The sequence below is a fragment of the Homo sapiens genome, chromosome 4 (genome assembly GCF_000001405.40).
Source record: "Homo sapiens chromosome 4, GRCh38.p14 Primary Assembly".
NCBI lineage: Eukaryota > Metazoa > Chordata > Mammalia > Primates > Hominidae > Homo > Homo sapiens.
The window spans coordinates 150,905,455-150,927,256 of NC_000004.12; the positions used below are offsets into that span (position 1 = coordinate 150,905,455).

Below are 21,802 nucleotides of genomic sequence, written 5' to 3' on the forward strand. Positions count from 1 at the left end.
TACTAGGAAACATTAATAATTACATTAAAACTGTCTAACTTTGATTTATATTTAGTAAATGAAGTCTCTCCCAAATAAAACTTTATTTCATTTAATTTCAGAAAACAAAGACTATACCTGTATCTTTTAAAATAATGATATTGTTTACAAAGAATATATTCTTTGTATGTATGTATATATTATTTGTATATATTCATACACACACACACACAATTTGCAATTTTTCCTGAAGAGTAAAAAAGGATGCTTAGTCAAAAAAAGCAATCCACTGAAGTCTTGCATAATAGTACATAAAAAAAAGAAAATCCTCTTAATTATCACTCTCCTCACGCACAAAAACAGCAAAGATAGTAAAACAATATCAATATATAGATATATATTACCTTGGCTGGGGTATGAATCCATATGGCAGGATTAAGAAGAACGTGATCACACAATTGCTTGAGCAGGGGCATCCCATTCTGCAGATTACTCAGATATTTTGAAAATGCAAGGCAAAGTTCAAGTACTGCTCTGCTAACATGAGATTTGGAAGACTGCAAAAAAAGTAGTTCAAATGTTACCACAAATTCAAGTCAAAGTAAGTGAATTACAGGCTGTCCCTACCAGGAAAAAAACTGGCCCACAAATTATGCTCAAAGTTAAAGATGCCATGAAGCTCACTATCACATTTGTTTGATAGAGGAATGGAGGCAAGGTAAAACAACAAAATGTTATTTTAGTTTAGGTAATTTTCTGTAACCAAGGAGACATTCTTGCAGACAGAATTCCTTAGCCACTTAGAGAACAAATGTATGGCCTGTAAATTAAGAATCAAAAACATAAAATATTTCATACTTTACCTTTTCAAGGCTATATCCTATTACCAAGAAGCCCTTACAGGCAAGCATCTGTTCCTGCATAGCAATTGAGTTCTTCAACAATTCCATGATAAAGGCCAGCAAGGTTGAACTAGAATTTTTTAAAAAGGCGATGATTAAAAAAACATATTCTATTTTTTTTAAATTAGGTTAGATAGATGTAACCCTTCCATTCACCTTAATAAAAAGTTCTCCATTTCAAAGAAATTGAAGCTCCACTAAAACTGCTTCCAACATTACATCAGAACTAGATTTTTAATGTAGGATTAGGAGTTACTCAGATATTTATTTCATATACTTTATCTCAAACACATTGATAGGTGAATTACTTAGAAACAATGACAAATGTTCATGATATAGAGAAAAATGAGCAACTTCCAAAAACAACCAATAACAAATACTTATTAAAAATACACTAAGGCCTTAAAGAACAGATATAACTTAGATAAGCAAGTATATTCAACTTTGAAGCGTTAGGGGCCAAAAGGTGAGAAAAGACAGTGGAGCAAACAGAGTAAGGTGTAAATCCTCAAAATGTGTTAGGGCTCCAGACTTGCATAGTCTGAATGGAGCAGAGGGCACATGAAGAGAAAGATGAGACAGTTAACTTGGAGGCAAACTTGAGCTCCTTGAACACTAATTTAAGAAGTTTGTTCATTATCCCAACAACAAAATTGTAATTCTCCAGTCAGTCTCGAACACTTTTAAAACTGAATAGGGGCTACAGCCATGCTCTACTACCTACAATTTTTAAAGATCCCCGGAAAGGAAAGGAAAAAGATCAGTTGTTACTGCCTTCTCAGAGAGAAGTCCCACAAAACAAAAAAAAAGAGAGAGAGAGAGAAAGCATGACCAGCAGCCAATCTCCTCCTCCACATCAGTGCTTTCACTGCCAGCAATTTCAATACGGGGGGAGGGGGGAGGGAGAGGGAGAGGGGAGGGAGGGAAGAGAGAAGGGGGGGAGAGGGGAGGGAGGGAGGAGAGAAGTGGGGGAGAGGGGGAAGGGAGGGAGGGGGCAGAGAGGGGAGGAAGGGGAAGGGGGAGGGAAGGAAGGGAGGGAGGGAGGAAAACTGTAAGTAAACCCTGTTAGAACACAGCACAAAACAATTCCATAAAGTATTAATATGTCAGGGTAATTTAATTTTATATTTTTTAAAATATAAGTTGACAAATACTAGATTTGATAACTTTTTATTTTTAAAAAAATTGTTGCCTGAAAATAATGAGGACAATTACCATTATTATACACACTGGTGGCAGACATCAAGTTATGTATAAAAGCAAAAATCAAAGGGAGAATTTCAAAATGAGAGAATGTAAAAGTATTTAAATTTCTCAAGTAACAAATGAAACAATAATTTCAATACAAATGAAACAATAATTTCACTATACATTGTTTCACTAGAATATATAGCCATGAGAAATTGAGACTCCTTTCCTACATTTTATGACTTACCCTATAACTTATATCCCTTTCTTTTTTAGACTCAGGACTACAACACAAGAGACAAAAATGTGCTAAATGTACAATCTAATTTTTTTCAAAAAGACTAATTCACTTCGATAACACTATTAAAATTTTGACTTCCAATTACATAAATGCAATCAGTAATAAATAATTAAAATATGAAAAGTTAAGTTCCATAATAAATCATTACCAAATAATTTTAAATATTTCAGAAATTAAAAATTTCTTATTGCATTCTGAGTAATGGGTAGTAAAAAAAATTTTTAATTTAGACAAAAAAATGTATTTATTTTTGAGTAACCCATTATTGCCATTTATAATGTTATTCTAAAACCAATTTATTGTGTTTCTTACAGCTTCCATATTTCCTACTGATAAACAAGAACTTAAGTTAATACTGACATAATTAATATGGACTTGTAATACAGTTTATAGTTCACAAGTTTAAATTATTTTGACACAACAAAACCTGAAAGGCAAAATATTGTATAGCTCAACAGTGATGAAATTAACCCTCACAGCCAATTAAAGAAACAAATAAAGGCACTCACCATATAGTCAAATCAATCTCATCAGACAAATATTGCCTGTAATCCAACTGTGCAAAAAGTGGAAATAGTACTTGTACTCCTCCAATTGAATGCATTGCACTTTGGATGGAATGTGTTAAAACTGCCTTTACATCCTTGTAAGATCAAAAACACAGTAAAGAGTTCAATGATTTTTTTTCCAAAACAATTAAAAATAAGGCACAACAATAAATGCAGAAACACTATAAACGTGACATTCCATGTGTTTAACAGAAGCTACCAAATACATCTCAATAACACATCAAAAATTACCATTATAAATGTTCTTAAAAGATCACAGTTAGTACCTGGAGCATGAGTGCATGTGGTGAATGAACAAAAATTGAAGGGTTGTCCTTAGGAGATGATTCAAGACAAAGCTGGGCATCTGTAGCCCGTGGATTGTACGTGAATGCAATGGCACTAGAGAGTTTCCCATCGTACAATAAAAGTTTGTGATGCTCAGCAAGGAAAAGGTCGCTTTCTGCTTTGAATTTAAATGTACCCTAAGAATTAATTAAAAACAGTTAAATAGTATGCCACAAAGAGAATCTAAGTACAAATCAACACAGGTGTAAAACTTTAAGGAGACAGACCATTGATAATCTTTTAACAGTATTATATAAGAGGACCCCTCGTTTACTTCTAAAATTGGCTGAATTTAAAGATATAATGGAAATCAAGTCAACTTGACATTAAAACCTTACCTTAAAAATGTAGAAGTGACCAATAGATCATATTTTATCTTTTTTCGTATATTCTTTTTTTAAAATTGTGATCAAAAGCATATAATATACAACTTACCATCTTAAGTATTTTTAAGTGTATAATTGAGAAACATTAACTGTATTCATATTGTTCAACAGCAAATCTCTAGAACTTTTATATCTTGCAAAACTGAAACTCTGTAGCCATTTAACAACTCCCCATTTCCTGCTCCCCACCAGCCCGACTATCACAATTCTACTTTCTGTTTCTATGAGTTGGACTCTTAGATACCTCGTATAAGTGGAATCATACAGTATTTGTCTTTTTGTGACCCAAGCATTTCATTTAGCACAATGTCTTCACAGTTCCTCCATGTTTTAGCTGATGACAGGATTTCCTTGTTTTTTAAGGTTGAATATGGTCCCGTGTGTTTATGTGTGTTGTCTGTCACATTTTCTTTATCCATTCATCTGCTACTGGACATGTGGGTTACTTCTATCTCTGGGTTATCGAGAATATTACTATGAACATGGATGGGCAAATATCTCCTTGTGACCCTATTTTTTGTGTGCAAATACGTCTCTGTGATCCTCTTTTCAATTATTTTGTATATATCCCATAAGTGAGATTACTGGATCACATGGAAGTTCTATTTTTAATTTTTTGAGGAACCTCATATTGTTGTCCATAGCAGCTGCACCATTTTTCATTCCCCTCAACAGTGCACAAAGGTACCAATTTCTCCACATTCTCACCAACACTTGTTATTTTGTTTTCTTTTTTAAGTAGTCATCCTAAATGATGAGGCAATAGCTCGCTGTAGTTTAAATTAGCATTTTTCTAATGTCTAGTGATATTGAGCATCTTTTCATATGTTCATTGGCTATTTTTATATCTTCTTTAAAGAAATGTCTACTCAACTCTTTTATGCATTTTTAATTGTTTTGTTATTGTTGTTGTTGTTGAGTTACAGGATTCATATATTCTGGATATTAACTCCTTATCAGATATATGATTGCTAAATATTTTCTCTCACTCTGTAGGTTACCTTTCCACTCTGCTGGATATTTCCTCTGATGCGCAGAACTTTATAACTTTGACAACATCTTATTTGTCTGTTTTGGCTTTGGTTGCCTGTACTTTCGGTATCACAGTCAAGAAATCACTGCCAAATTCAATGTCGTAAAGCTTTTCCCTTGTGTATTCTTTTAGGAGTTTTATAGTTTTACATCTTACTTTTAGGTCTTTAATCCATTTTCAGCTCATTTTTATATACAATGTACAATATGAATTAAGTATAAAACTTTTCTTTCTTATTTTTCGCATCTGGATATCCAGTTTTCCCAACATCATGTGTTGAACACATTGTCCTTTCCCCAGTATGTGGCCTTGCCTCACTTGTCAAAGATCATTTGACCGTATATGCAAAAGTTTATTTCCGGACACTCTATTGTGTTCCCTTGGCCTATGTGTCTAAGCAAGTCTAACGTTGTTTTCATTATGTATCATAGCCTTGTAATAAATTTTGAAACCCTGAAGTGTAAAGCCTGCAACTTTGTTCCCCTTTTTAAATACTGTTTTGGCTTCTGAGAATCCCTTGAGATTCCACATTAATTTTAGAATTGTGCTTCTATTTATGCAAAAAATGCCATTGGGATTTTGATAAGAACTGTACTGAATCTGTAGATTGCTTTAGGTAGTATGGATTTTTAGCATATTAAATCTTCCAAGGGATGTCTTTACATTTGTTTCGGTCTCTTAAATTTTGTCAGCAACATTTTGTACTTTTCAATGTACAACTCTTTTGCCTCCTTGGTGGAGTCAGGGTACAGCTCTTTTGCCACCTTGGTTGAGTTTATTTCTAAGTATTTTATCCTTGTTGATGCTATTGTAAAAGAAATTGTTTGCGTAATTTTCAAACTGTTCATTACTACTTCATTATTACTAATAGAAACACAATTGATTTGTGTGTATTGATTTTGTGCCTTGGAACTCTGCAGAATTCATTTACTAGTCCTAACAGTTTTCAGTGAAATCTTTAAGGATTTTTAGATATAAGGTCATGCCATACGCCAACAGATGATTTTACCTCTTCCCTTCCAATTTAGATGCCTTTTCTTTTTCTTGCCAAATTGCTCTAACTGGATTTCCAAATACTATGTTGAATAGAAATGGAAAGAATAAGCATCCTTGCTTTGTTCCTGATTTTAGAGGAAAAACTGTCAGTTTTTCACTGTTCAGTATTGTGTCAGTCATGGGCTTTTCATATACAATATTTTATTATGTTGAGGTAGTTTCCTTCTATTCATAGATTGTTGAGTGTTTTAGGTTTTTTTTAAATCAAGAAAGAGTGTTGAATTTTGTCAAATCCTTTTCTGTATCAGTTGATATATGATCATATGGATTTTGTAATTCACTGTTAGTGTGGTACATTGCATTGACTGATTTCCATGTTGAACCATCTTTGCATTCCAGAAATAAATCGTAATTTGACATTGTGTATAATTCTTTTAATGTGCTGTTAAATTCAATTTCTTAGTATTTTATTGAAGATTTTTCCATCAATATTCATCAGGGATATTAGTCTATAGTTTTCTTTCTTGTACTATCTTGATCTGGCTTTGGTATCAGGGTAACACTGGCCTCATAAAATCAGTTTGAAAATGTTCCCTACTCTTAAAATTTTTGTAAATTTGAGGAGAATTGGCATTAATTCTTCTTTAGATGACTGAGAGCATTCTCCAGTGAAGCCATCTAGTCCCTGGCTTTCTTTGTTGAAAAGTTTTTTATTATTGATTCAATCTCCTTACTAGCTATAGGTCTTTTCGGATTTTTTAAATTTATTTTTGATTCAGTCTCAGTAGGATGTATATTTCTAGAAAATTGTCCATTTCTTCTAAATTATCCGATTTGTTGGCATATACTTTTCATAGCATTCTCTTATAATTCTTTCTATTTCTGTGGCAAGTTATAATGCCTCCTCCTTAATTTCTGATTTTACTTATTTATGTGCTCTTCTTTTTTCCTTAGCCTATGTAAGAATTTGTCAATTTTGCTGATGTTTAATTAAAAAAAAAACTGTTAGTTTCACTGATTTTTTTCTCACTGCTTTTCTATTTTCTATTCCAGGGGTCCCTAACCAGGTATATGACCTGTTAGGAACAACAGCAAGAAGTGAGCGGTGGGCAAGCAAGCAAAGCTTCATCTGTATTTACAGCCACTCCCTACCACTCACATTACTGCCTGAGCTCCACCTCCTGTCAGATCAGATTTTTATAGAAGGGTGAACCCTATTGTGAACTGCACATGCAAGGGATCTAGATTGTGTGCTCCTTATGAGAATATAATACCTGATAATCTGTCACTGTCTCCCATCACCCCCGGATGGAACCGTCTAGTTGCAGAAAACAAGCTCTGCTTTGTTTCCCACTGATTCTACATTATGGTGAGTCGTATAATTATTTCATTATATATTACAATGTAATAATAACAGAAATAAAGTGCACAATAAATGTAATGCACTTGAATCATCCCGAAACCATCCCTGCTGCGCCCCCACCACCCGTGGTCCATGGAAAAACTGTCTTCCATGAAACTGGTCCCTGGGACCAAAAAGGTTGGGGACTGCTGCTCTATTTCATTTATTTCTGCTCGGATTTTTATCATTTCCTTCTATCTGCTAACGTTAACTTTATTTGTTGTTCTTTTTCCAGTTCCATGTTGTATAAATTAGGTTGCTGATCTGAGATCTTTCTTTTGGTGATAATGATCAGTCATTATCACCATAATCTTCTCTCTTAGACTGAGGTCACTGAATCTCGTAAGTTTTGGTAGGTTGTGCTTACATTTTGATTTCTCTCAAGATATTTTCTAATTTTCCTTGTGATTTATCTTTGACCCAAAGGCTGTTTTAAGTGTGTTGTTTAATTTCTACATTAAACATTTTCTACATTAAAAACTTGGTGGACTTTCCAGTTTTTCTTTGGCAACTGGTTTCTAGTTTCATTTTATTGTGGTCAAAAAAGATACTTGGTATAATTTCAATCTTAACTTTGTTGACACTTGTTTTGTGGCATAACACATGTCTATCCTGGAGAATGTTCTGTGTGTGCTTAAGAAAAATGCAGGTCAGGTGCAGTGGCTCACGCCTGTAATCCCAGCACTTTGGGAAGCCGAGGCGGGCGGATCACCTGAGGTCAGGAGTTTGAGACCAGCCTGACCAAAATGGCAAAACCCCATCTCTATTAAAATTACAAAATTAGCTGGGTGCAGTGCCACATGCCTGTAATCCCAGGTACTTGGGAGGCTGAGGCAGGAGAATTGCTTGAACCCAGGAGGTGGAGGTTGCAATGAGCCAAGATCATGCCATTGCACTCCAGCCTGGGCAACAAGAGCAAAACTCCACCTCAAAAAAAAGAAGAAGAAGAAGAACAATGCACATTCTACTGTTGTTTCATCGAGTGTTATGTATACTACTGCTAAATACATTGGGCTGCATTGCTGTTCAAGTCTTCTGTTTACTTATTGATCTTCTGTCTGGTTGTTCTATTCATTATTGAAAGCTGAATACTGAAGTGTCCTACTATAATGGTGTTGCTATCTACTTCTTTTAATTCTATCAAAGTTTGCTTCATATATTTGAGAGCTCTGATGTTAAGTACATATATTTGTTCTATCTTTCTGGTGAACTGACCCTATCATCATAAAATGTCCTTCTTTGTCTCTTTTGACAGTTTTTGACTTAAAGTCTATTTTGTCTAATTTAAGTAAGCTACTCCTACTCTTCTCTGGTTACCATTTGCACACATCTCTTTATTTGTGGGTACATTTTAGGTGTATATATTTATGGGGCCCATAAAATGTTTTAATACAGTCATGCAACGTGAAATAAGCACATCATGGAGAACAGATATCCATCCCTTCAAGCATTTACCAATTTAGTTGAAAACCATCCAATTACACTATTTCAAAATGTACAGTTATTATTGACTATAGTCACCCTGCTGTGGTATCAAATAGTAGGTCTCATTTTTCTTTTTTTTTTTTGTATCCATTAACCAAACTCTCCATGTATAACCCACCTTCAAATCAAGCTGAACTAACATTGGTTAAGCACAAAACAGTAAGCAAACTACCTTGTATCCCAGGCCCAACTGATAAATAGCAAATATCTGAGCTGCATTTAGAGCTTCACTGAAAAGGTAAACTGCAGTCATCTGACCACAGAATACTCTATTAGCATCTGCTGTTTCTGATGAGCCCAGGAAACATTTGTCAAAGGTCTGTAAAAGAAAAAAAAAAAGGAATTAGGAAAAAACAAAAAAAAACTCCAGAAATAATAAAAACCTATATTATCATAAATGTTTTGTCCATTCTAAACTGTATCTAAATAGACTAACATAATTTATACCATAAAACCATTAGAAAGAATGTTGAAAAATGTGTATGTAATGACATTAGGGGATATAGAAAAGTTTGAAACACATGTGTTCTCAAGCCAAACAACCTAGATCAAATCCCTGCATCCTATGCCACTGAGTATGGCAAGTTACTTAACCTCTTTGTACTTCACCTATCTGTAAAATGAAGATTATAATAATGCTTATCTTGCAAGGTTGCTGGAGCTTTTTGAAAATAAAGCTATTTATTACAATGCCTGGAATACAAAAAGCACTCAGTAAAAGTTAATGTAAGAAAAAACAGGTTACAAAACAATACTTACATATGAGCCCTTTTTTGTACTAAAAAAGAGCTAACATTGAGCACTCATTCTGTATAAGGCGCGCTGCTAATAGATTTATGGATATTATCTCATTTAATCAGATGACAACTTTCTGAGGTATGAATATTTTATGTCCATTTTCAGGAGGAAAAATGCTAAGGCCTAATAGATTAGGTAAGGTCATGCAGTCAATAAATGACAGAGCTGAGATTCAAACCTAAGTCTGTCTGATTCAAGACCCTGATCTCTTGAGGTTAGCATTACAAAATATGTATATATGTGTAGCAAAGGATATGAAAAGAGGAGTTAATGGTGTGTGGGTAGTGTACTTTATGTTCATTTTCCTGGTATTTTTCAAGTTTTTATAAAAAGAACATAATTACAGGAAAAACATTTTAAATTTCATTCTAACCTATAGATTTATTTTTGAAACCTGTAAACGTTAACAACATACTAGTTAACTATAGCAGTTAGAATTATATGCAAGATTTATAAGCATGCATCATTTAACTCATTCAGAAAAATGATCAGAACCCTATAGTGGAGCTCTTGTTCATTTTGATAAATGAACCAATGACCCACTCCCCAGATATAGCCACTGTTAGCTATAAATCCTTATTTCTACCTATATGGAATGATTTTATAACAAGGACTAATATTTCAGTGACATATTAAGTTCTATTAACATGCTAGCCAAATTATGTTTATAAAAATCTACCATTGTAATACTTTGAATTTTATATTCAAGTTGTAAAACTTTTTCTTGTTTAAAAAGCTCATGCTTTTAAAATCACTTTTTTCATTGCAACATTTTGAAACTACTTACATCGCTAGTGTTGACAAACCATGTTATCTCTCCATAGGAAGCCAGCTCACCATTCACATAACATCGAAGTTCACTATTCTTCCATCGGTTATAGATGTGTACTATGGTAACCATATACCACTGCAGAAGCAAAAAACAGTTAAAAATACAAAGATAACAATTATCCCAATAACGCAACCATACTGATGAGTAAAAGTTAAATGATAAGTTGTAATTCAACCTAAAAATAAAACAAGACTACCTTTGTTAAATTCAATATTTACTTTCTGGAACAATATCTATTCATGGGCCTTTCAACTGATAAGAACTTAATCACTAGATCATTTTTCCAGCTTTTTATTATGGAAATTTTCAAACATACCCCAAAAATCTGAAAATCAAGTACAAACACCCCCTTTTTCCACCAACTAGATTCCATAATTGTCAATTTTTTGCCATATTTGCTTAATCTATCTGACTACCTATCTACTTATACATTTTGTTGATGAACCATTTATTAACCTCTAAATTTTAAGGTACAAAAGCAAACACATATTAAATTTGCAATACTAAAATAAATGCCGTAGATATTTCCTACTTGTATCTCCCTTAATCTCCATAAATAACTAAATTTGCAATCTTTTTCATATCCAAATCAGAGAGGTCAATTATTCAGTGATTTACGCTTCATCTTTTTAAACAGTAAAAACGAAGTTGTGCTTTAGCATGTTATTATATGAATAACATTAAAACAAAGCATTTTGATGACTAGCATAGCTTGTTAACATAACTATGACTCAAGAAGATCATGTACCTTTTGTGGCTTGAAATCAAATTTCACACAGTGTTGAAAGCCTTTTCCTTTTGACTTTATTGATGTTACAATCAAACAGCCTCCAACAAAATGAGCAGAATAGCCAAGACCTTTGCTGGTTCTGAAACTATAAAGAATAGTTTTCATTTTACCTCTAAATATTCTTCTCAGTTTCAAAGTAAGGTTTTAACACTAATCAGTTACAGAAATACATACCAATACAAATATGGTTTATCCTTATCTACATTGATGTTATTTACAGGATCCATTCTAAGCCATGTATGAAATGTAAAACCATTCTGGTATGGCCATTTGGCTATAGGAGGTAATGCAATAGCCTAAAGGAAAGAAACTTTGAGTTATTAACTCACGTGAAAACCTGTCTTATTAAAATCATGAAAATAAGACTTTGCAATGCTACATATATTTGTACTACATCACATTACTTTATGTCACAATTAAAATATCTGAGGCCGGGCGCGGTGGCTCACGCCTGTAATCCCAGCACTTTGGGAGGCCGAGGCAGGTGCATCACAAGGTCAGGAGATTGAGACCATCCTGGCTAACACGGTGAAACCCCGTCTCTACTAAAAATACAAAAAATTAGCCGGGTACGGTGGTGGGTGCCTGTAGTCCCAGCTACTCGGGAGGCTGAGACAGGAGAACGGCGTGAACCCAGGAGGCAGAGTTTGCAGTGAGCCGAGACCACACCACTGCACTACAGCCTGGGCGAAAGAGCAAGACTCCATCTCAAAAAAAAAAATATATATATATCTGAAAGAAGACTCTTTATCTGGAAGAAGACTCTTTATCAGGAAGAAGACTTTTAGTAACTTTTTAATTTTCCCTAATACATAGTAATGTTAATTAAATGAAAAAAAAATTCAGTGTAACCTGGACACATGAATCTTGTATTCTTCATTTCTTAAAATGAACGTATCCACAGAGATTCTAATTAAAAGAGATAGGAAGTGATAACAAATTGGAAATTTGATGAAATTTTAAGGTATTAGAATAGAGAAAGATGGACAGGAATGGAAAGAGAGAAGAGAAAAACTGGGTATATGCTGCTTTTATAAAACTACAAATATAAAACTGAAGAGGATTAGTTCATAATATTTTTAAATTATATTCAGAAGTCAATATACAAATGGCTTTACCGCTTGGTTTAGATTTTTATTTAAAAGATCATACTACATAATAAAAGGATCTTGTATAGCCAAAACAATCTTTTAAAAAGAACAGGCCAGATACGGTGGCTCACACCTGTAATCCCAGCACTTTGGGAGGCCAAGGCAGGCAGATCATCTGCGGTCAGGAGTTCGAGACCAGCCTGGCCAACATGGTGAAACCCTGCCTCTACTAAAAAAATACAAAAATTAGCCATGCGTGGTGGTGGGTGCCTGTAATCCCAGCTACTCAGGAGGGTGAGGCAGGAGAATTGCTTGAACCCAGGAGGCAGAGGTTGCAGTGAGCCGAGATCATGCCATTGCACTCCAGCCAGGGTGACAAGAACAAAAATCTGTCTCAAAAAAAAAAATGAAGAAGAACAAAGTTAGAAGACTCATACTACCATTTCAAAACCTACCATTAATATAAAGCAACAGTGATGAAGACTGTGGTATTAGCATAAGGCCCTGGTGTCCTTTGGTTAGGCAAATCCTTCTTATTATGTCACCAAAAGGACAAGTGACAAAAGAAAAAAATATATACATTGGACTTTATTAAAATTAAAACCTGTGCTTTAAGGAACACCATCAAAAAAGTGAAAAGACAAGCCACAAGAATGGAAGTAAACATCTGCAAACTGAATACCTGATAAAGGACTTGTAACCAAAATATATAAAGTACTCTTATAACTCAATAATAAAAGGACAAGTAAAATTTTAAAATGGGCAAAAGATCTAAATATACATATCTCCAAAGAAGATATACAAATAGCCAATAAAAATATAAAAAGATGCTCAATATCATTAGTCATAAAGGAAATGCAAATCAAAACTACAATGAGATATCACTTCATACCAACTAGGATAGCTACTAATACAATCACAAAGACAGATACTGGCCGGGCACGGTGGCTCACGCCTATAATCCCAGCACTTTGGGAGGCTGAGGCAGGTGGATCACTTCAGGTCAGGAGTTGAAGACCAGCCTGGCCAACATGGTGAAACCCTGTCTCTACTAAAAAATACAAAAGTTAGCTGGGCATGGTGGTACACATCTGTAATCCCAGCTACTCAGGAAGCTGAGACACAAGAATCGCTTGAACCGGGAGGCAGAGGTTGCAGGGAGCCAAGATCACACCACTGCATTCCAGCCTGGGTGACAGAGCAAGACTTCATCTCAAAAACAAACAAACAAAAATAGACATTAACCATCTTAGCAAGGATGTAGAGAAATTTGACCCTTATACATTGCTGTGGGATCGTAAAATGTTACAGCTACTTTGGAAAACAGTCTGGAAGTTCATCAAAATGTTAAACAAAGACCATATGACCTAATCTAGAGATTGGGACAAATTAAAACATATGTCCACACATAAAATTGTACACTAATGTCCATAACAGCATTATTCATACTAGCCCAAGAAGTGAAAATCCCAAATATTCACTAGTTGACAAATGATTAAATAAAGTATGGTATATCCATACAATATAATACCAGCCATAAAAAGGAATGAAGTACTGATACATGCTGTACCATGGATGGACCTTGAAAACATTATGATAAGTGAAAAAAGCCAGTCACAAAAGACCAGATGTTGTATGATTCCACTAATATGAATGGTCCAGAATAGGGCTGGGGAATATGGGGAGTGGCTGCTAATCAGTATGGGGTTTCTTTTGGGTGTGATGAGAATGTCCCAAAATTGACTGTGGTGATGGTTGACAACTCTGTGAACACATTTACCTACTATACTATATACTTTAAATGAGTTAATTGTGTGGTATGTGGATTATATCTCAATAAAGCTGTTTTGTAAAAAATTCAAACTGCACAAGTGTCTGTTTTATTGTAACTTACATATGCATTTATGTATACATATTATACATATATTCTTTTATATGTATTAGATAAGACATAAAACATGAAAGACATCATAGAGCCAAACTTCAGTAATAACACTATTGAGACTTCAAGAGTGAACGTTGCATTAAACGTTGCATTAATGCAAAAATGAACGTTGCATTAAGAAAAAAGGAAAAGAATAATTACAACTCACAGACTGACAAAAAAAAATTTTAGGAGAAAAACATATATTCAGTGCGTACACATGTTCTCTCTCACCAAAAACGATAGCAAAGATGTAAAAGCTTTGCAAAAATACTTTATTCATGACTACTTTAAATTCCCAGTAAAAGCTATGTTTAAGGAAAGGAAGTCACTAAACATATTTAAAACATCTATTCTCTTCAAGTTTCAAAAGCTGTTCAGCTCACCTGCCCTACTTTCAAGATAAATGCATGCACTGCAATCTCAGAACTGTAAATAATAAAATTATAACATGAGGCATGAAAAAGGTTAATCTCATAAGAACACTTTTTTTAATGTTAGAGGCAATGATAGGCTATGATAAGAAAGTAAAATTATTCTGAAAAGCTACAAATCTAAAATCGACTGTAAGGAAAAACTGTAAAGGAAAAAATTGGGCAATAAAACTTTTCAAAGAAAGTTGTATATTGTGTATATAACATTTAAATATCACAAATGTCATATTAAAACATATTCTTATCTTTCTGCAGATACTGCCAGGCTACACAGGGCCTAATATAAGATTTTATGAGAACTAACATAAAAAAAAGAATGAAAGATAAGCTCAGGAAAAGAATAGACTGAAATATCTTTTTTAAAAGTTTGTCTTGGGCCGGGCGTGGTGACTCATGCCTGTAATCCCAGCACTTCGGGAGGCTGAGGTGGGTGGATCACCTGAGGTCAGGAATTCGAGACAAGCCTGGCCAACATGGCAAAACCCCGTCTCTACTAAAAATACAAAAATTAGTCAGGCGTGGTCGTGGGCACTTGTAATCGCAGCTACTCAGGAGGCTGAGGCAGAAGAATCGCTTGAAACCAGGAGGCAGAGGTTGCAGTGAGCCGAGATCGCACCACTGCACTCCAGCCTGGGCAACAAGAGCAAAACTCCATCTCAAAATAAAAAAAAAGTTTGTTTTGCTTGTAACAGACTGACCAATGTAATAATGAGGAGATTTTAGAAACTTCCATAAATAACATATATACATTATAGAATGTGCTTCTATAACATTACGAAACATTACAGATATCACTATTATACATAATTGTCTTATGTATAAACTGATTAACGGCTTACAGGAACACTGAGACCAACATAATTTGGAAACTCACAAGTCAAGGAAAACTTGCGTAGTAAGTTTCAGAGCCTCTATTTCTTCACTATCATTCTATACACAAGGTACAAAAAAAAAGACAGGTAGAGTAATGAAAGGCAAGAGAAAGATGTTCACAAAGATAGACATGAAGGTGTTACACACAAATAGCTACTTAAGACAACATGGCTATGTTTAAAAGAATGAGGTTCTTATTCCATTGCTGACCCAAGCTGTGACTGGGCATTTTCTCAACTAATTTAAGCCTCTATTTCTTCACCTCTAAAGCAATTACAAAAAAGTAACATGCACGACTATCATAAGGATTAAAGTATGTTGAGCAGAAGTTTCTACCTAGCACAGAACCTGTCAGGGGTGTTCACAGGGCTGTACTTTCAGGGAGCAAAGGAAAGAAGAACTGGGAGTGATTTCCTCATTAATATTTACTTACTGCAGCACTCTTTCCTGGAAAGTTAAAAAAGGCATCAGGACCATACTTCTGAGGCATATGCTTTAACACAGACAGCAACTTCCCAGCATGTGGAGGCTATGAAGATAATTAACAATTCATTAACCACATTATTTACCATAAGATAAAAAAAACACATCTTTAATATAGTCTTGCTGTAATATATACAGGAATAATGCTATAAGGTTAAAAGCATAGAAAATAATTTCTAAGTTATTTTCAAATATCTTAAAGAAATAATGTACTCTACACCAGTTTTTGTAATGCTGTAGGGCCTATTAGGTATTCAATAAATATGAGCCAGTATCATTAGACACCTGAAACTCTTCTCCAAGCTGCAGCAAAAATGATCTTTTTTTTTTCTTTTTTGAGATGGAGTCTCACTCTGCCACCCAGGCTGGAGTCCATGTGCAGTGGCGCCATCTCGGCTCACCATAAACTCTGCCTCCCAGATTCAAGTGATTCACCAGCTGAGTAGCTGGGATTACAGGTGTGTGCCACCACACCCAGCTAATTTTTTTTTCTTTCGAGATGGAGTCTCGCTCTGTCACTCAGGCTAGAGTGCAATGGCATGATCTCGGCTCACCGCAACCTCCGCCTCCCAGGTTCAAGCGATTCTCCTGCCTCACCCTCCCAAGTAGCTGGGATTACAGGTGCACGCCACCACACCCGGCTAACTTTTGTACTTTTAGTAGAGACGGGGTTTCTCCATGTTGGTCAGGCTGGTCTCGAACCAACCTCAGGTGATCCACCTGCCTGGGCCTCCCAAAGTGGTGGGATTACAGGCGTAAGCCACTGTGCCCGGCCTATATTTTTTGTATTTTTAGTAGAGACAGGGTTTCACCACGTTGGCCAGACTGGTCTCAAACTCCTGACTTCAAGTGATCCACCTGCCTCAGCCTCACAAAGTGCTGGGATTACAGGCATGAGCCACCACACCTGGCCAAAAACGATCTTTTAAAAATATAAACTACATCAATCCCCCACCCACCCTTCTTTAAAATTAAAAATACTTAATAATTTAACAAATACTTAAATAATGCTTACTATATTCCACTGTTAAAGGTACTTCAAAAAGATACTTGCACATGCATGTTTATAGCAGCACAATTCACAATTGCAAAATCATGGAACCTACCCAAATGCCCATCAATCAACGAGTGGATAAAGAAACTGTGGTATATATATATATATATATATATGATGGAATACTACTCAGCCATTAAAAGAAATAAATTATCAGCATTTGCAGTGACCTGGATAAGACTGGAAACTATTATTCTAAGTGAAGTAACTCAGGAATGGAAAACCAAACAGTGTATGTTCTCACTGATATGTGGGAGCTAAGCTATGAGGACACAAAGGAAAAAGAAAGATACAATGGACTTTGGGGACTTGGGGTAAGAGTGGGAGGCGGGTGAGAGATAAAAGTCTACAAATATGGTGTGGTGTATACTGCTCAGGTGACGGGTGCACCAAAATCTCACAAATCACCACTAAAGAACTTACTCATGTAACCAAATACTACCTGTACCCCAATAACTTATGGAAAAATAAAATTAAAAAATAAAAATAAACATTTCAAAAAATGGTACTTCAAAAACACTAAAATATTTTAACCTCATAACCACCCTATGGGATGGTATTATTATGATTATCCGCAGTTTACAGAAGAAGAATCTGAGGCAGGGGAACATTTCCAAAGTCACATGGGTAATAACTGTCAAGGTCAGGATGAGAACTCAATCTTGACTCCAGAGTCCATGCTTTTAAACAACTATACAGATGCTCCTCAACTTACGATAGGGTTACATCCTGATAAACCCACAGTAAGTTGAAAAGAATGTAAATCGAAAGTATGTTTTTGATCCAAAATATTGTCAACTTAAGATGGGTTTAGCCGGAGGTAGCCCCATCCTAAGTGAAGGAGTATACTGAATGCATATCACTTTCACACCATCGTAAAGTCAAAAAAAAAAAAAAACAACTATACTTTCACCATTAAAATAGGGACCAAAACCTTTAACATGGACTATAAGATACTTTATCTACTTCTTTAGCCTCATTTTGCTTCTTACTCTCCCCTTCTCCCTGCACTCCATCCTTTTTTCAGTCTTCTTCCCACAACAGGGCCTCAGCAAAAGCTATTCCTTATGCTTAAAATGTTCTCAAAAGGACCCCTGTACTCCCCTCTTATCCAAGTCAATCTTACCCAGCCTTTAGAGCTCATCTTAACAGTCACTTCCTCAGGGTAGCCTTCCTTGAAACTGAGAGTGGATTAAACTTCCCTATCATATTTCATTCTACAATATACCTTTACCGCATAGCATATAAATATATGTATACGCATAGCATATACATATAAAAGCTGCAACGCTGAGTTTATTTGATTAATGTTTCCTTGGTCCACAAGTCTCTAATACATGAAACAACCAACAATAAAAATGAAAAATCTCATTTGCAGTTACAAGGAAAAACAAAAGATAATCAGACATACTATCTCATTTTAATCAGTTTATAACCAAATAAGAAAAGTGTGGGGCATTCCTCCTTGTTAAAAATGTAAAAGTTCAAAACAGGGTCAAACTACAAATGAAATCATTGGTTTGCCTTCATCTTATTTTTATAGATGATATAAATTATAATTACTACCTGTGTAAAAGAGTTTGGCAACCTTTCACCTAAATATTAAGTGGAAGCTTCATTCTTAAGTGAACAAGAAATTTTCAATTAACCATACTGCTCAATTGTAAAAGCATAATAACAAGTAACTACAATCACAGTGATTTTTTAAAATAAATTCCAAAGTAAAATAAAGTAACCAAAAATAACTCTGCAGTTAAAAATAAAAATACAGTATTATAGCATGTCCATCTAGAAACATCATTCCTCCAAATTTCCTTTCCTATAAATCAGTCAACAAAAGAATACATTAAGATAAGCACTTTACTTGACAGACATTGCTGGGGGAGTGTATACTGTACTGGTAAAGCCTTTCAGAAAAAAATTTAGTAGACCAGGCACAGTGGTTCACATCTGTAATCTCAACACTTTAGGAGGCCAAGGTGGAGGGATCGCTTGAGCCTAGGGGTTTGAGACCAGCCTGGGCAACATGGAGAAACTCCATCTCTAGAAAACAATACAAAAATTAGCCAAGAATGGTGGCAAGTGCCTGTGGTCCCAGCTGCTTGGAAAGCTGAGGTGGGAGGATTGCTTGACCCAGGAGGCAGAGGTTGCAGGCAGCCGAGATAGCACCACTGTACTCCAACCTGGGTAACAGAGCAAGACTCTGTCTGAAAAAGAAAAAGAAAGAGGAAAAGAAAAAGATGTAGTAGTCATATTTCAAGAGTCCGTAAAGACGTTCATGTCCACCAATGCAATATTTCCACATGTAAAAATCTATGCTAAAGTAATCACCACAAGGGCAGACAGAGATTTAGATATAGGGATTTTTTCACTGCACTGCTATAACAGCAAACGATAGAAATAATATGCCTAATATTAAATAACTAAATAAACGTAATGAGTATCTGAGCAAGGCCTTGCTCTCATTTTATAAATAGTTCATTATTTTTTCCCTTTATCATCTAAAACTATTCTCATTCTCCTCCCCCTCCCCATAGGCAACTATATTAACATGTTTAATCTTTTTTATGTAGATTATTCCTTCAAAAATAATGTTTGGGGCTGAGTGTGGTGGCTCATGCCTGTAATCCTAGCACTCTGGGAGGACTGCTTGAGCTCAGGAGTTTGACACCAGCTTGGACAACATGGCAAAACCCAGCCTCTAAAAGAAATGCAAAAATTAGCCTGGCATGGTGGCACATGTCCGTGGTCCCAGCTACTTGGGAGGCTGAGGTGGATCTCTTGATACCAGGAAGCTGAGAATGCAGTGAGCCATGATCACACCATTGCACTCCAGCCTGGATGAGAGTGAGACCCTGTCTTTAAAAAAAAAAAAAAGAAAAGAAAAAAAGGTTTTTATGTGCTTACACTTATCATTGCTTTCTTTCCTATATATTTTACATCTATTCCTATTACTCCATGTACTGATTCTGTTATAGAACAATCTACCTTCTATACATTTTACCAATCCACTCTCTTAATGATGAACATCCATGTTAACATTCACTGCCATCAAAAATAATGCTTCAGTGAACATCCTCATGTATTTTATGGATCTATGTGAGAATTTCTTGGAATACGCACTCAGAAGTGAATTATTAAATCACTGGATACAGGTAAAATTAACATGACTAAGTAGCACTAGACTCCTCTTGAGGTTGGCTCCACTGGTGTTCATTCTAATGAAAAGCGCACCAAGTATAAAATAACCCTATATCCCAAACTATACTTGCCATTTTCCAACTTTAAAATTCTTGAGAAACTACAGATGGAAGGTGACAATATCAATACTGTTTTAATGTGAATGTCTCTAATTATTAATGATTTTGTGTTCATTTGGTTGTGGGGTTTCTACCTCTGTAAATAAATATTAGTTCATATTATTTGCTATTTTCTTACCTATAATTTTCTATGCTTATGAATATAATAAAAATACATTACATATTCAGAATAAATAATGTGAATATAAATAAAAACCAAAATCAAATATATACTTTCTCTTCTGGACACGACATATTAATAGGACCTGGACTTACCAACCTACCATAAACAACTAGAAAAGTGGGCAAAATGTATCAAACAAAAACAGTTTTCAGTATGCAGGAAGAGGTAGCTCAAGACTGTGTTCCCTGAGAAAACAAAATGACTTAAACCTGGAGTCAATTTCCATATCATTGCACAGGGAAACCAAACAGAACCCGAAAGTCTCAGTGAGTTGGAAAGAAAGTGGAGTCCACAGAAGATAGAAGTTTCAGAGAAGAATACTAGGGAGGAAAGAACTGAACAGACAAGAAGCTCCAGAAATCTGCATTGACTCTTTGACTTAATACCAGACTGATCATGCTTATGATAAAACTCAACATGGTGGGGCTAAGATAGTAAGAGCTTTAAGTTAAAGAATTCCCAAAACTAATACAGAGCTAGGAATTGTTGAGACCCTACTAGACACTTCGGAGAGACCACAGTCTTGCTACCTCCTGTCCTATGTCTGAGACTTGAGAGTTATTCAATAGAGACCCTCTAAGAGACACGCCTGAATAGTAAAACTAAACTAGCCGTAGCGTAACAGCCACTCTAAACCTTACTGGAAAAAAAACTTTTAAACTAGTTTTGAAGGATAAAGTTGATCCACAAATAACTTATCTGCCTACAAAACCAGTCTAACAATCTTAAAAGGAATATGACAAAATCCAACACTCAGCAACATAAAATTTGCTATGTCTGATATATTGTCTAAATTCAGTAGCCATAAGCAGCAGAAAAATGTGACCTACATAAAGGAGCAAAATCAATGAGTAAAAAACTGACCTAGAAAATGACATTCTAGAATGAAAAACCAAGAGCATTAAAGCAACTATTCATATGCTAAATATTGTCAAGGATTTAAAGGAATTAAATGAGGGAAAAAATGGAAAATATTTAAAAGAACCAAATAGAATTTACAGAAAGAGACCAGGCATGGTGGCTTATGCCTGTAATCCCAGCACTTTGGGAGGCCAAGACGGGTGGATCACAAGGTCAGGAGTTCGAGACCATCCTGACCAACACTGTGAAACCCTGTCTCTACTAAAAATAGAAAAGTTAGCCAGGCGTGGTGGTGTGCGCCTGTAATCCCAGCAACTCAGGAGGCTGAGGTAGGAGAATTGCTTGAACCCAGGAGGTGGAGGTTGCAGTGAGCAGAGATCGCACCACTGGACGTTAGCCTGGCGACAGAGCAAGACTCCGTCTCAAAAGAAAGAAAAAAAAAAAAAAGGCCAGGCGCGGTGGCTCACACCTGTAATCTCAGCACTCTGGGAGGCCAAGGCGGGCAGATCACAAGGTTAGGAGATCGAGACCATCCTGGCTAACATGGCAAAACCCCGTCTCTACTAAAAATACAAAAATTAGCCGCACTTGGTGGCATACGCCTGTAGTCC

At 35.5% G+C, this 21,802-nt stretch overlaps 1 protein-coding gene across 9 annotated transcripts in view; it reads right to left on the reverse strand.

Moving 5' to 3' along the window:
- LRBA (LPS responsive beige-like anchor protein) overlaps positions 1–21,802 on the reverse strand; it is a 751,293-nt gene that overhangs the window by 641,020 nt on the left and 88,471 nt on the right. For all 9 annotated transcript variants that reach the window (XM_047416462.1, NM_001367550.1, NM_006726.5 and 6 more), the window contains exons 5-13: positions 15,744–15,839; positions 11,163–11,284; positions 10,947–11,073; positions 10,154–10,273; positions 8,741–8,887; positions 3,206–3,403; positions 2,880–3,013; positions 843–951; positions 384–536 (exon numbers count right to left, since the gene is read on the reverse strand). In XM_047416462.1, coding sequence (XP_047272418.1) covers positions 384–536; positions 843–951; positions 2,880–3,013; positions 3,206–3,403; positions 8,741–8,887; positions 10,154–10,273; positions 10,947–11,073; positions 11,163–11,284; positions 15,744–15,839 — 1,206 coding nt within the window. The remainder of the gene's footprint in view (positions 1–383; positions 537–842; positions 952–2,879; positions 3,014–3,205; positions 3,404–8,740; positions 8,888–10,153; positions 10,274–10,946; positions 11,074–11,162; positions 11,285–15,743; positions 15,840–21,802) is intronic.